The sequence below is a fragment of the Homo sapiens genome, chromosome 4 (genome assembly GCF_000001405.40).
Source record: "Homo sapiens chromosome 4, GRCh38.p14 Primary Assembly".
NCBI classification, from domain to species: domain Eukaryota; kingdom Metazoa; phylum Chordata; class Mammalia; order Primates; family Hominidae; genus Homo; species Homo sapiens.
The window spans coordinates 70,841,732-70,855,168 of NC_000004.12; the positions used below are offsets into that span (position 1 = coordinate 70,841,732).

Consider the following 13,437-nt stretch of genomic DNA (forward strand, 5'->3'; position numbering starts at 1 on the left):
ACCCTTTCCCCAACCAAAAAACAAAGAACAAGAAAAAAATTGATAGGCTTGGCTCTATGAACCTGGAGTATCAAAGAAAAAGGGGTTTAGTTTTGTTTTTTGGGCTAAAATACAGTCCGACGGAGAGTATTGTCATTTTTATACAAAAACAGGGACAAAAGAAAAGGCAACAGTGCAAATACTCCATCTTCCAGGAAGGGAGGCTGGGATGCCTCAGTGTTAAAATGACAAAAGAAAACCCCAGAGCAAGAACCATGATCCCTCAGAGGAGTCCCAGAAATGTCCAAGACAGCCTGGCTGGGAGAGGGGGTGTGGGAAGGGCAGGCCCCCAAGAGAGGTCCCCACATCCTCTGGCTAGAGGCTAGGCCCAGGACCCACCAATGCCAGCAGCCCTCACCTCCCTTTGGGGTGAGAGCAGGTGCTGAGGTCAGGCTGGTTTTTGTTTCCCACTGCTTGTTCGTGATTTGTTCTTGGATACCTGGAAAGGGGCCAGTTGAGGCCTCAGGGGTTGAGGCCCCTCTGGAAATGTGGTTCCTGGGAATGGGCCTGGACATAGAAGCCACTGGATGTCTCTTCCCTGAACAGTAATTTTGTTCATCAGTAATCCTGTAACTTCCCAAGGAAAACAAAGAACAGGCTAGTCTTCCCCACCCCAGCCAAAAAAGAGAAGGGGGTTTCTTCATCTGCAAGATTTGGGAATCCTAGAGTTACTTATTTATATAGAGACAGGGTTTTGCTCTTTTGCCCGAGCTGGGGTGCAGTGGTGGGAATATGACTCACACTAGCCTTGACCTCCCGGGTTCAAGTAATCCTCCTGCCTCAGCCTCCCAAAGTGCTTGGGATTACAAGCATGAACCACCACACCTGACCTATTTTTCTTTTCGTAAGCCTCCCTTTCAAGAAGGAAAATGGGTTAGCCCTTCCTAACAGATCATCACTACAAATAACAGGTTGCTGATGTATTGGAGACTCTGCCTATATTTACTCTTGCCCTCATTTTCTTAATAGCAGCAGTCATCATCTATAACATAAAAATCTGAATGGATTGGAAACCTAAATAGACAGAAATCCTGTACTTTATAATCAGGAGTATAAATAATAAGAGGCAGCCTGGGCAACCTGGCGACATCCCGTATCTACTAAAAATACAAAAAATTAGCTGGGCGTGGTGACACCTGCCTGTAGTCCCAAAAGGTCACACGCTCTCTCACAGCACAAACTGACCCTAAAACCGGAGCCCACAAGGTTGAGGCTTCAGTGAGCTGAGACCGCACCACTGCACTCCAGCACTCCAAAGTAGCACCTGCCATCCTCATGACAGAGTGAGACCCTGTCTCAAAAGTAAATAAATAAATAAAATTAAATTATAAGAGGCCATTGGTTTGGACTGAGCTCTTCTACTATGCCCAAAAGACCAAACCAAAATGCAGTTACTCACCTTCCACAAGACCAAGCTGAAACTAAGTTTATTTGACCTTCTGAGTAATCAGGAGAGACAGATAATGGCCAAATCCTCAAACAGACTGGTGTTAGCTGGCAGGATAAGGAAGGCCCCTTTGCTTTGACCTTTATAGGGAAAATACCTGAAACAACCAATCTGCTTTGTATTCTCTGTTTCTACTTTCCTTGGCCCTTTTCTATCTACAAACCCAACCTCCTTTGCTCAGCTCATCAAAACACTCACTCTATAGAATGAGATGTTGCCCGATTCTAGAATAGAAAATAAAAGCCAATTAAGATTTATAAAAGCTGAGGCCGGGCGCAGTGGCTCAAGCCTGTAATCCCAGCACTTTGGGAAGCCGAGGTGGGCGGATCACCTGAAGTCGGGAGTTCGAGACCAGCCTGACCAACATGGAGAACCCCCTCTCTACTAAAAATACAAAATTAGCTGAGCATGGTGCGCATGCCTGTAATCCCAGCTACTCAGGAGGCTGAGGCAGGAGAATTGCTTGAACCCGGGAGGCAGAGGTTGCAGTGAGCCGAGATCGTGCCATTGCACTCCAGCCTGGGCAACAAGAGCGAAACTCTGTCTCAAAAAACAAAAAAAAAAAAATTTCTAAAAGGCGTGTGCGGTGGCTCACGCCTATAATCCCAACACTTTGGAAGGCCGAGGCGGGCAGATCACTTGAGGTCAGGAGTTCAAGACCAGCCTGGCCAATATGGTGAAACCCCATCTCTACTAAAATACAAAAATTAGCTGGGCATGGTGGTGTACACCTGTAATCCCAGCTACTTGGGAGGCTGAGGCAAGAGAATCGCTTGAACCTGGGAGGTGGAGGTTGCAGTGAGCTGAGATCGCGCCACTGCATGCTAGCCTGGGCGACGGAGAGAGACTCTGTCTCAAAAAAAAAAAAAAAAAAGATTTGTAAACTAAATTCATTGTAATTTTGTCTTTTGACAGTTCTGGCAACTGACAAAGGGACCTAAAGGACACTGCTGATGACTTCTGAGACTCCCGGAGGAATATCAGAGAGGTGCCACAGAGCCACAGATGCCTTTTGAGGTCCTCGGTCTTCCTCATGGAGCCTCAAGGGTTATAGGTAAGTTCCGCTCGGGTGGACTCCTTTTTTTTTTTTTGGCTTTTGAATTTAGGATTAGTTTATGCTGTGAGACAGTGCATGACCTTTTGTGGTTTGCAGTGGCTGACAAGTCATTGGCAAGAGCTGCAGTTTTGTCTTGGCTGGGTGCGGTGGCGCATGCCTGTAACCCCAGCACTTTGAGAGGCAGGTGGATTGCTTGAGATCAGCCTGGCCAACATAGCAAAACCCCGTCTACTAAAAATACAAAAATTAGCCAAGTGTGGTGGTGCGCCCCTATAATCCCAGCTACTCGGGAGGCTGAGGCATAGGAATCATTTGTCTCAAACAAACAAAGAAAGAAACAAGCAGAAAACAAAAAGAAAAAACAAACAAAAAGAAGAGACAGGGGTCTGATGCTATTTTCCGGGCTGGAGTGCAGTGGTTATTCACAAGCACAATCACAGGACATTACTGCCTCAAACTACTGGGCTCAAGCGATCCTTCTGCCTTTGCTCTGAGTGCCTGGGATTATAGGATTACAGGTCTGTGCCATTAAGTCTGGTTTAAGAGCTGCAGTTTTTTTTCTTTTTTGGGGGGGGGGGGTTTGTTTGTTTTTTAGTTGTTTACCTTACTCATGGACTCAGGTAACAAGGAGCTGCATTTTAAGACAGTGTTGCTCTAAGTGGTTATTACTGCAGGAGGCATGAACTCTGGCTTTTGGAATCTGCTGGAATTTGAATTCTATCCTTTTTGTTAGGTTTTCTTGCATGCTTAGGTAGGAAAAAAATCACTGGGTAAGTTGGTCAAGGGGATCTCAGAGCCAAAGCCACCATTTAACTAGTGGGCACAGTTCAGGTACTTTAGAGCTATTAAAGTGCTGGCCACTAAAAAATGAGACTACCTGTTAGAATAAACTAGACATGAAACAAGGTAGCACTTGCCATCCTCAATAAAATGTTTATGCAGTGAGGTACACTGTGAAAGAATTATACCACCCAACCCCATGATGTTTCCCTCTTAGGCTGTTTTTTTTTTTTTTTTCCTTGAGATGGAGTCTCACTCTGTAGCCCAAGCTGGAGTGCAGTGGTGCAATCTCGGCTCACTGCAACCTCCGCCTCCAGGATTCTAGTGATTCTTGCCTCAGCCTCCTGAGTAGCTGGGACTACAGGCGGTGCCATCATGCCTGGCTAATTTTTTTTTGTATTTTTAGTAGATACGGGGTTTCACCATGTTGTCCTGGGTGTTCTCGAACTCCTGAGCTCAGACAATCAATCTGCCTTGGCCTCCCAAAGTGCTGGGATTACAGGTGTGAGCCACCACGCCTGGCCCCCTCTTAGGCTTTTGTCTTGACTTTGAGAGACCCAAGAGTCAATGTAAAAATGAGATCTTTAATTTTTTTTTTTTTTTTTTTTTGAGATGGGAGTCTTGCTCTGTTGCCTGGGCTCACTGCAACCTCCACCTCCCGGGTTCAAGCGATTCTGCTGCTTCAGCCTCCCGAGTAGCTGGGACTACAGGCATGCACCACCATGCCCAGCTAATTTTTGTATTTTTAGTAGAGACCAAATTTCACCATGTTGACCAGGCTGGTCTTGAACTCCTGACTCAGGTGATCCGCCCACCTCGGCCTCCCAAAGTGCTGGGATTACAGGTGTGAGCCAACGCACCCGGCCAGATCCTTAATTTCTAAAGAACTGAATATTCCACCTTCCAGCTACACCTGCCTTTTACTTGTATTAGGCCCCAGTAGCTGAAAATACTTATAAAGGTGGTGAAACCAGTGGAATCTTACTAAAGATAATTTAAAATTACAATGGTCATTATATGGACCATTCCAGATGAGAGGAGTGATACTCGACTTTTTTTTTTTTTTTTTTTTGAGACAGAGTCTCACTCTGTCACCCAGGCTGGAGGGCAGTGGCACGATCTGGACTCACTGCAACCTCCGCCTCCCGGGTTCAAGCAATTATCACGCCTCAGCCTCCCAAATAGCTGGGATTATATGTGCTCTCCACCATGCCGGGCTAATTTTGTATTTTTAGTAGAGATGGGGTTTCACCATGTTGGCCAAGCTGGTCTCAAACTCCTGACCTCAAGCAATCCGCCCGTCTCGGCCTCCCAAAGTGCTGGGATTACAGGCATGAGCCACCACGACAGACCGATACTCAACTTTAAGAAGTGCATTTAGGCCAGGTATGGTGGGTGGCTCATGCCTGTAATCCTAGCACTTTGGGAGGCTCAGGCGGGTGGATTGCTTGAGCTCAGGAGTTCGAGACCAGTCTCAGCAACACAGTGAAACCCTGGTTCTACAAAAATTTCAAAAATTAGCCAGGTGTGGTGGTTTGTGCCTGTAGTCCCAGCTACTCAGGAGTCCCAGCTACCAGCTGAGGTGGGAGGATTGCTTGAACTCAGGAGGCGGAGGTTGCAGTGAGCTGAGATTACGCCACTGCACTCCAGCCTGGGCTACAGAAGGAGAGCCTGTCTCAAATAAAAAAAAAAAGGAAGTGCATTTAAAAATGAGGGTTCCTGGCCGGGCGCAGTGCCTCACGCCTATAATCCCAGCACTTTGGGAGGCTGAGGCAGGTGGATCACGAGGTCAGGAAATGGAGAACATCCTGGCTAACACGGTGAAACCCCATCTCTACTAAAAAAATACAAAAAAATTAGCCGGGTGTGGTGGCAGGTGCCTGTGGTCTCAGCTACTCGGGAGGCTGAGGCAGGAGAATGGCGTGAACCCGGGAGGTAGAGCTTGCAGTGGGTCGAGATCGTGCCCCTGCACTCCAGCCTGGGTGACAGAGTGAGACTCTGTCTCAAAAAAAAAAAAAAAAAAAAAGAGGGTTCCTGCTGGGCATAGTGGCTCTGACCTGTAATCTTAGCACTTTGCAAGGCCAAGGAGGGATAATTAGCTGGGCCCAGGAGTTCAAGACCAACCTGAGCAACATAGACCACATTTCTACAACAACTTTGAAAAATTAGCTGGGCATGGTAACATATCCCTGTAGTTACTAGCTACTTGGGAAGCTGTGATGGGAGGATCTCTTGAGTCCAGGAGTTTGAGGCTGCAGTGAGTTCTGATCGCACACCACTGTACTCTAGACTGGGCTACAGAGCAAGACCTTGTCTCCAAAAGAGAGAGAGAGAGAGAGTTCCTGAATTAGACCCACCCAGGGATGCCTATGGATATGCAGAAACTTCTAAAAAGATTTCAAAATTTTTTCTTGCCTCTTTTAAAAGACTTATTACAAAAGGCAAATGAAAAGCTTAAGTAACCAATCGATAAGAAAAATGGAAACTGCCAACCTTTTTGCTTAGTTACTATCACACCCCAAAGACAAAAAGAAAGTGGGAAAAGTGGTTTTTATAAAACTTAGTCCCTCAGGTCAAGCAGTTTTGCTTCTTTTTTCAGAGTTATCAGTGCTAGAGTCCAGACATAGAAAATGATGTGTCTGACCTATTTGTTAATGGACTCCACCCTAAACTCAGTAATCCAGTTAAGAAACAGAAGCAAAATTGAAAAGCCACCAGTCTGACTAAATTATTTTCCAGAATATGGCATTCTGGCATTCATCTAGTTTTTTTGTTTGTTTGTTTCTTTGTTTGTTTTTGAGACAGAGTCTCCCTCTGTTGCCCAGGCTAAAGAACTCAGCTCACTGCAACCTCCGCCTCCTGGGTTCAAGTGATTCTCCTGCCCCAGCCTCCTGAGTAAGCAGCTTGGATTACAGGTGCACGCCACCACGTCCAGCTAAGTTTTGTATTAGTAGAGACAGGATTTCACCATGTTGGTTGGGCTGGTCTCAAACTCCTGACCTCAAGTGATCCACCTGCCTCAGCCTCCCAAAGTATTGGAGTTACAGGCATGAGCCACCACGCCCAGCCTGATTTTTTTTTTTTAATACGGAATGCTTCACCAATTTGCATGTCATCCTTGTGGAGGGGACCATGCTAATCATCTCTATCATTCTAATTGCAAGCACCAGATTTTTTTAATTTTTAATTTTTTTTAGAACCAAGTTCTTGTTTTGTCACCCAGGTTGGAGTGCAGTAGTACAATCATAGCTCACTGCAGCCTCAAATTCCTAAGCTTAAGAGATCCTCTTGCGTCAGCCTCCCAAGTAGCTAGGACTACAAGCACACACCACCACACCTGGCTAATTTTTTTAAAAAATTTTTTGTAGACACAAAATCTTGTTACGTTGCCCAGGCTGGTCTTGAACCTCTGGCCTCAAGTGATCCTCCCACCTTGGCCTCCAAAAATGCTGGGGTTATAGGCATGAACCTCCATGCCTGACCTCGTATCAGACTTTCAACCATAGCCATTTTAAGTCCATAGTTAATTCTTTTATTCTTATGCTCTTCTGAAACCTTTTTTTTTTCTTTTTCTTTTTTGAGGCAGAGTCTCACTCTGTTGCCCAGGCTGGAGTGCAGTATCATGATCTTGGCTCACTGCAACCTCCACCTCCCTGACTCAAGGGATCCTCTGAGTAGCTAGGACTACAGGTGTGCACCACTACACCCGTCTAATTTTATTTTTTTTCTTTTTTTTGTAGAGATGAGGTTTCACCATGTTGCCCAGGCTGGTCTCGAACTCCTGGGCTCAAGCGGTCTGCCTGCCTTGGCCTCCCAAAGTGCTGGGATTGCAGGCGTGAGCCACCTGCCCAGCCCTTCTGAGAGCTTTTTGCAAACAACTGTAATCCTAAAGTGTTGTGTCTTCAAGAAGATTTATGGAAGTGTGGCCTGGGGCAGTGGCTCATGCCTGTAATCTCAACACTTCGGGAGGCCGAGGCAGGTAGATCACCTGAGGTCACGAGTTCAAGACCAGCCTGGCCAATATGGCAAAACCCTGTCTCTACTAAAAATACAAAAATTAGCCAGACATGGTGGTGTGCACCCATAATCCCAGCTACTCGAGAAGCTAAGGCAGGAAAATTGCTTGAACCCGGGAGATGGAGGCTTTAGTGAGCTGAGATCGTGCCACTGCACTCCAGCCTGGGCAACAGAGGGAAACTCCGAAGATTCACGGGAAGTATTAAAGCAAACTAAATGAGAAGGACTCTGTACTTCCATATTTGAGTCCTTGGATGAACTGCAACCTAACTTAATAGGTAGGGAAAATTGAAAACCTAACTTAGAGGTTATAACAATAGTGCCTATAACAATAGCTGAGTCTTAGCCAATCCCAGCACAGCCATACTTCAACCATTCATACACTGCTGGGTGTTCAAACGGTGTTCAAATAAGGCAAATGCCAACCTGTAACTAATTCAGCTGTTTCTGAGCCTCACTTCCAATTTCTGTACGTCACTTCCCTTTTTTTATCTATAAATTTGTTCTGACCACGAGACACCATTGGAGTTTCTCTGAATCTGCTGTGATTCTGGGGGCTGTCTGATTCGCGAATCATTCATTGCTTAACTAAACTCCTTTAAACTTAATTCTGCTGACTTTTTCTTTTAACAGAAGGATAGAGAGGACTCTGACAAATAAATGTAGGTTTCTGATAACTTTAAGATCATACCACTGGACTAGGTAGAAATTTCCAGAAATCTAATGAAGAAACTGCTGGGTTCGTGAGCTGCTAACCAAGATCAAGCAGAACAAAAATTAATTACATGGGATTAAATAAACTGATGAAGAAGAATTATGGGTTTTTACAGCATTTTTATTCGAAATATTGCACGTTTTTTGTTTGTTTGCTTGCTTTTGAGACGGAGTCTCGCTCTGTTGCCAGGCTGGATGGAGTACAGTGGCGCGAACTCGGCTCACTGCAACCTCTGCCTCCCAGGTTCAAGTGATTCTCCTGCCTCAGCCTCCCGAGTAGCTGGGACTACAGGCACACGCCACATGCCCAACTAATTTTTTTGTATTTTAGTAGAGATGGGGTTTCACCATATTGGCCAGGATGGTCTCGATCTCTTGACCTCGTGATCCGCCCGCCTCGGCCTCCCAAAATGCTGTGATTACAGACGTGAGCCACTGCGCCCGGCCATATTGCAGGTTTTTTAATATTTTGTTTTTCAGATTTAAGACAACTCTTTCTTTTAAGGTATCTGTAACTTACAGCAATTTGGCAAAGTATACTTGTGTGAACAAAAATTGAAACGTTTACTTTCAGTACCTACCTGATCCCTCCAGAATTTAGAAATATTCATGAAAATTTTTATTTTCGTGGCAATATAGTTATTTTCATAGTTTAGTTCAATAAGAATCTGCTCAGTTTTCTCAGAATAAAATTGGAAATATCAGTTATATTTTTTCACTGGGATACCATATTTGACAAGTGCATAGAATTAATCTACAGGTACTGTAGACAAAGTCTGAGGTATGCTTTGGTTTGGCTTCATAGCCTCAAGAGGTTGTTAATAATCCAATCTGTTGGATTTGATTTCCTATCAAAAGTTCCAGCAAAGCAAAGTTTAATAGCGCCTATGTGGTCAATTGTTATTCTTGCTGTACTTGTATAAATAAACAGCCTAAGTTTGATGAGACTAAACTTATTTTGCAAACAAATTAGTTTTACCCCGATTATCTTTGGTAGAAATGGGGGTGACTGTAGAGCAGGAGTCCCCAACCCCTGGCTCACCTGTTAAAAACCAGGCCACCCAGCAGGAGATGAGCAACCAGGCCACAAAGCAGGAGGTGAGCTGCAGACAAGCGAGCATTACCGCCTAAGCTCCACCTCCATCAGATCAGCAGCAGCATTAAATTCTCACAGGAGGCCAGGCGTGGTGGCTCACACCTGTAATCCCAGCACTTTGGGAGGCCAAGGTGGGAGGATTGAGGTCAGGAGTTCAAGACCAGCCTCGCCAACATGGTGAAACCCCATCTCTACTAAAAATACAAAAATTAGCTGGGTATGGCGGTGCACCCTTATAATCCCAGATACTTAGGAGGCTGAGGCAGGAGAATCCCTTGAACCCCAGAGGCAGAAGTTGCAGTGAGCCAAGTTCATATCACTGCACTCCAGCCTAGGTGACAGAGTGAGACTCCGTCTCAAAAACAAAAAATCCTCATAGAAGTGGGAACCCTATTGTGAACTTCACATGCGAGGCATCTAGGTTTCTTGCTCCTCATGAGAATCTTATGCTTGATGATCTGAGGTGGAAGTTTCATCCCGAAACTATCCCCTCCACCCCTACCCTGGTCTGTGGAAAAATTGTCTTCCACGAAAAGATTGGAGACCACTGCTATTGAGAGAAAAACTATGTTTCTGAGGATAGCTATAGTATACCTGTTAATAGAGTATACCCCTGTTCCTTGTTCTCAAGTTTTTATTATCTACCTGTAGACTAGACTAGATTCTGAATTCTTCTAGTTTCCTCCAGTATGTGGTTACGACTCTCCAACTAAAAATAAGAACTACTCTGTTCCTGAAGCCCTATAAGCAGAAGCTGGACAACTCAATGTAAATTTCAAAGGACAAGTCCTATTACTGATGTGTGGGCCAAATAGAGATTTCACCAAAATGCATGATGCCATAACCAGAGACAATCAAACTGCAAATCAAGATGAGAAGTTGGGCTGGGCCCGGTGGCTTACACCTGTAATCTCAACACTCTGGGAGGCTGAGGTAGGCAAATCACTTGAGGTTAGGAGTTCGAGACCAGCCTGGCCAACATCTCAGCTCACTGCAACCTTTGCCTCTCAGGTTCAAGTGATTCTCCTGCCTCAGCCTCCCAAGTAGCTGGGACTACAGGCACCCGCCACCACGACTGGCTAATTTTTTGTATATTTAGTAGAGACAGGGTTTCACCATGTTGGCCAGGCTGGTCTCGAACTCGTGACCTTAGGTGATCTGCCCACCTCAGCCTCCCAAAGTGCTGGGATTACAAGTGTGAGCCACCATGCCCAGCCTCATGATCTGTTTTATAAAGTAAGACTTCTAGTGCTCGGCTTCAGAAGCACATATGCTAAAATAATTAGAACGATACAGAGAAGATTAGCATGGCCCCTGCACAAGGATGACATGCAAATTCATGAAGCGTTCCATATTTTTTAAAAAAAAGACTTCTAGATCCACTTGTTCTCACTTCCTGCCTTAATTTATCCCAATCATGGGATGCTAGATTACCTACTAGCTGAACAGGAAGTAGTCTGTGTAGTTGCTGATATTTCTTGTTGCATATAGGTAAATATATCAAGTATTGTAGACACTCAGTTATTAAAAATTAATACCTACTTGGTTAAAACAGGCAGACTCCTCATCTAGCTCATTCTTAGATCTGTTTGATTTTAGTTGCTTTAGTTCATGGAGACCCTGGGTAAGAAACATGCTCCGAATTTTTGGTATTATCCTCCTGATGGTCACAATATTAGTCTTCCTGGTACACAGTATCCTCTCAAAAAGTCTTAAATATCTACATGCAGCTATCTGCTGTATGCTAAACGGTCTTTTGGGCTGGAATGAAGAAAACTTAAAGAAACACATGATAAGAAAGACAATGTAACCCATGAATGATGTATGGAGAGCGCACCCCAAAATGATGGTGACTGTTAGATTGTACTGATGCCCTAAGTCTTGGTCACACTGTCACCTATGAGAGACCCTGACAAAAAGAGGGGAATTGTTCAATACAATTATATCTCTTTAGGCTCAACAGACCAAATCAAAATGGAGTTACTTGTCCTGAAGTTCCATACCACCAAACTGTAACTAAGTTGTTTATGTGACACTTCAAGGTAGCAGGAGTTAATAGGCAAATCCCCAAATAGTCCAGTTTTATCTGGCTTGATAAAGTCCCTTCTGCTTTAACCTTTACAGGGAGAGTAGCTTCGAAATGACCAATCTACTTTTTGTTCTGTTTCTGCTTTCCTCGGCCCATTTCTTTCTTTCTTTTTTTTTTTTTTTTTTGAGACAATATTACTCTGTTGCTCAGGTTGGAGTGCAGTGGCACAATCTCAGCTCACTGCAGCCTCCGCTTCTCAGGTTTGAGCGATTCTCCTGCTTCAGCCTCCCAAGTAGCTGGAATTACAGGCACATGCCCAGCTAATTTTTGTGTCTTTAGTAGATACAGGGTTTTGCCATGTTGACCTGGCTGGTCTCAAACTCCTGACCTCCAGTGATCCACCGTCCTTGGCCTCCCAAAGTGCTGGAATTACAAATGTGAGCCACCATGCCCGGCCTCCTCAGCTTATTTCTCTCTATAAAGCCAAATTCCTTTGCTCGGCTCATTGGAGCAAAGGAGTTTGGTTTTATGGAATGAATCACACACACACAAAAAGCCAATTAAGATCTTTAAACTAAATTTATTGTAATTTTGACTTTTGAAAGGAGTAACACCTAAGCATTAAAACAGAAAGTTTTAATTTTTACTTAGAGGAAGTTGGGGAGAGTATAAAGGAGAAAAGAAACTAACTTTGAACAATTATTCATTTATCTAACAAAATTTATTAAGTGCTTTTTGTGTTCCAGGCACTGTGCTATGCCCTGTGAATTCAGGGATATAATATGTTTTCAGATTAGATATCAAAGTATTGTTTAAATACAGGCATACCTCATTTTATTGTGTTTCGCTTTATTGCAGTAAAAAGTAGTGTGTGTTCTGACTGCTCCGTTGAGTGGCCGTTTCTCTGTCTGTCTCCCTTTCCTCGGGCCTCCTTATTTCCTGCAACACAGTGATATTGAAATTAAGCCAATTAATTACCCTACAGTGGCCTCTAAGTGTTCAAATGAAAGGAGGAGTCATACATCTCTTACTTTAAATTAAAAGCTAGAAACAATTAAGCTTATTGAGGAAGGGGGCATGTCAAAAGCTGAGACAGGCCGAAAGCTAAGCCTCTTGCATCAGTTAGCCAAGTTGTGAATGCAAAGGAAAAGTTCTTGAAGGAAATTAGAAGTATTACTCCAGTGAACACATGAATGATTAAAAAAAAAAAAAAGCAAAACAGCTTTATTGTTGATACGGGGAAATTTGAGTGGTCCGGATAGAAGATCAAACCAGTCACAACCTTCCCTTAAGCCAAAGCCGAACCCAGAGGAAGGCCTTAACTCTCTTCAGTTCTATAAAGGCTAAGAGAGGTTGGAAAGCTGCAGAAGAAAAGTTTGAAGCTAGGCAGAGGTGGTTCATGAGGCTTAAGGAAAGAAGCTGTCTCTGTCATGTAAAAGTGCAAGGTGAAGCAGCAAGTGCTGATGGAGAAGCTGTAGCAAGCTATCCAGAAGATCTAGCATAATAATCAATGAAGATGAACCCACTAAACAGATTTCCACTGTAGATGAAACAGCCTTATATGGGAAGAAGATGACATGCAGGACTTTCATTGCTAGAAATGAGAAGTCACGGCCTGGCTTCAAAGCTTCAAGGGACATGCTGACTCTTGTTAGGGGCTAATGCAGCTGGTGATTTTAAGTTGAAGCCAATGTTCGTTTACCATTCTGAAAATCCTCGGGCCCTGTAGAATTATGCTAAATGTGTTCTGCCTGTGCTCTATAAATGAAGCTGCAAAGCTTGAATGACAGCACATCTGTTTACAGCATGGTTTACTGAATATTTTAAGCCCACTGTTGAGATCTGTTGCTCAGGAAAAAAGTTTCCTTTCAAAATATTACTGCTCCTTGACAATGCACCTGGTTACCCAACAGCTCTAATGGAGATGTACAAGGAGATGAATGTTGTTTTCATGCCTACTAACACAATACTCATTCTACAGCTCATGGATCAAGGAGTAACTTAGATTTTCAAGTCTTAGTAGTTAAGAAATACATTTTGTAAGGCTATAGCTGCCATAAACAGTGATTCCTTTGATAGATCTGTGCAAAGTACATTGAAAACCTTCTGGAAAGGATCCACCATTCGAGATGCCTTTAGGAACATTTGTGATTCATGGGAGGAGGTCAAAATATCAATGTTAACAGGAATTTGGAAGAACTTGGTTCCAAACACTTATGGACAATTTTGAGGGGTTTAAGTCTTTAGTGAAGAAAGTA

The 13,437-nt window shown here is 44.0% G+C and overlaps 1 protein-coding gene, 1 long non-coding RNA gene, 1 other non-coding gene and 1 pseudogene across 3 annotated transcripts in view; 2 read left to right on the plus strand and 2 right to left on the minus strand.

Annotated features, from left to right (window-relative positions):
- The window catches only part of GRSF1 (G-rich RNA sequence binding factor 1), a 27,453-nt gene extending 25,949 nt beyond the window's left edge, over positions 1-1,504 (minus strand). Inside the window, exon 1 of the mRNA XM_011531897.4 lies at positions 1,439-1,504. The gene's annotated coding sequence lies outside the window, so the exon portion shown is untranslated. The remainder of the gene's footprint in view (positions 1-1,438) is intronic.
- The window catches only part of LOC124900710 (uncharacterized), an 8,902-nt gene extending 2,740 nt beyond the window's left edge, over positions 1-6,162 (plus strand). The window contains exons 2-3 of the long non-coding RNA XR_007058131.1: positions 2,402-2,540; positions 6,129-6,162. This is a non-coding gene — a long non-coding RNA (uncharacterized LOC124900710). The remainder of the gene's footprint in view (positions 1-2,401; positions 2,541-6,128) is intronic.
- Positions 6,163-6,404: 242 nt separating this feature from the next.
- LOC124900887 (U6 spliceosomal RNA) lies at positions 6,405-6,506 on the minus strand. The gene has a single exon (XR_007058520.1). It is a non-coding gene; the product is annotated as a U6 spliceosomal RNA (small nuclear RNA).
- On the plus strand, positions 10,399-10,508 carry RNU6-891P (RNA, U6 small nuclear 891, pseudogene; annotated as a pseudogene).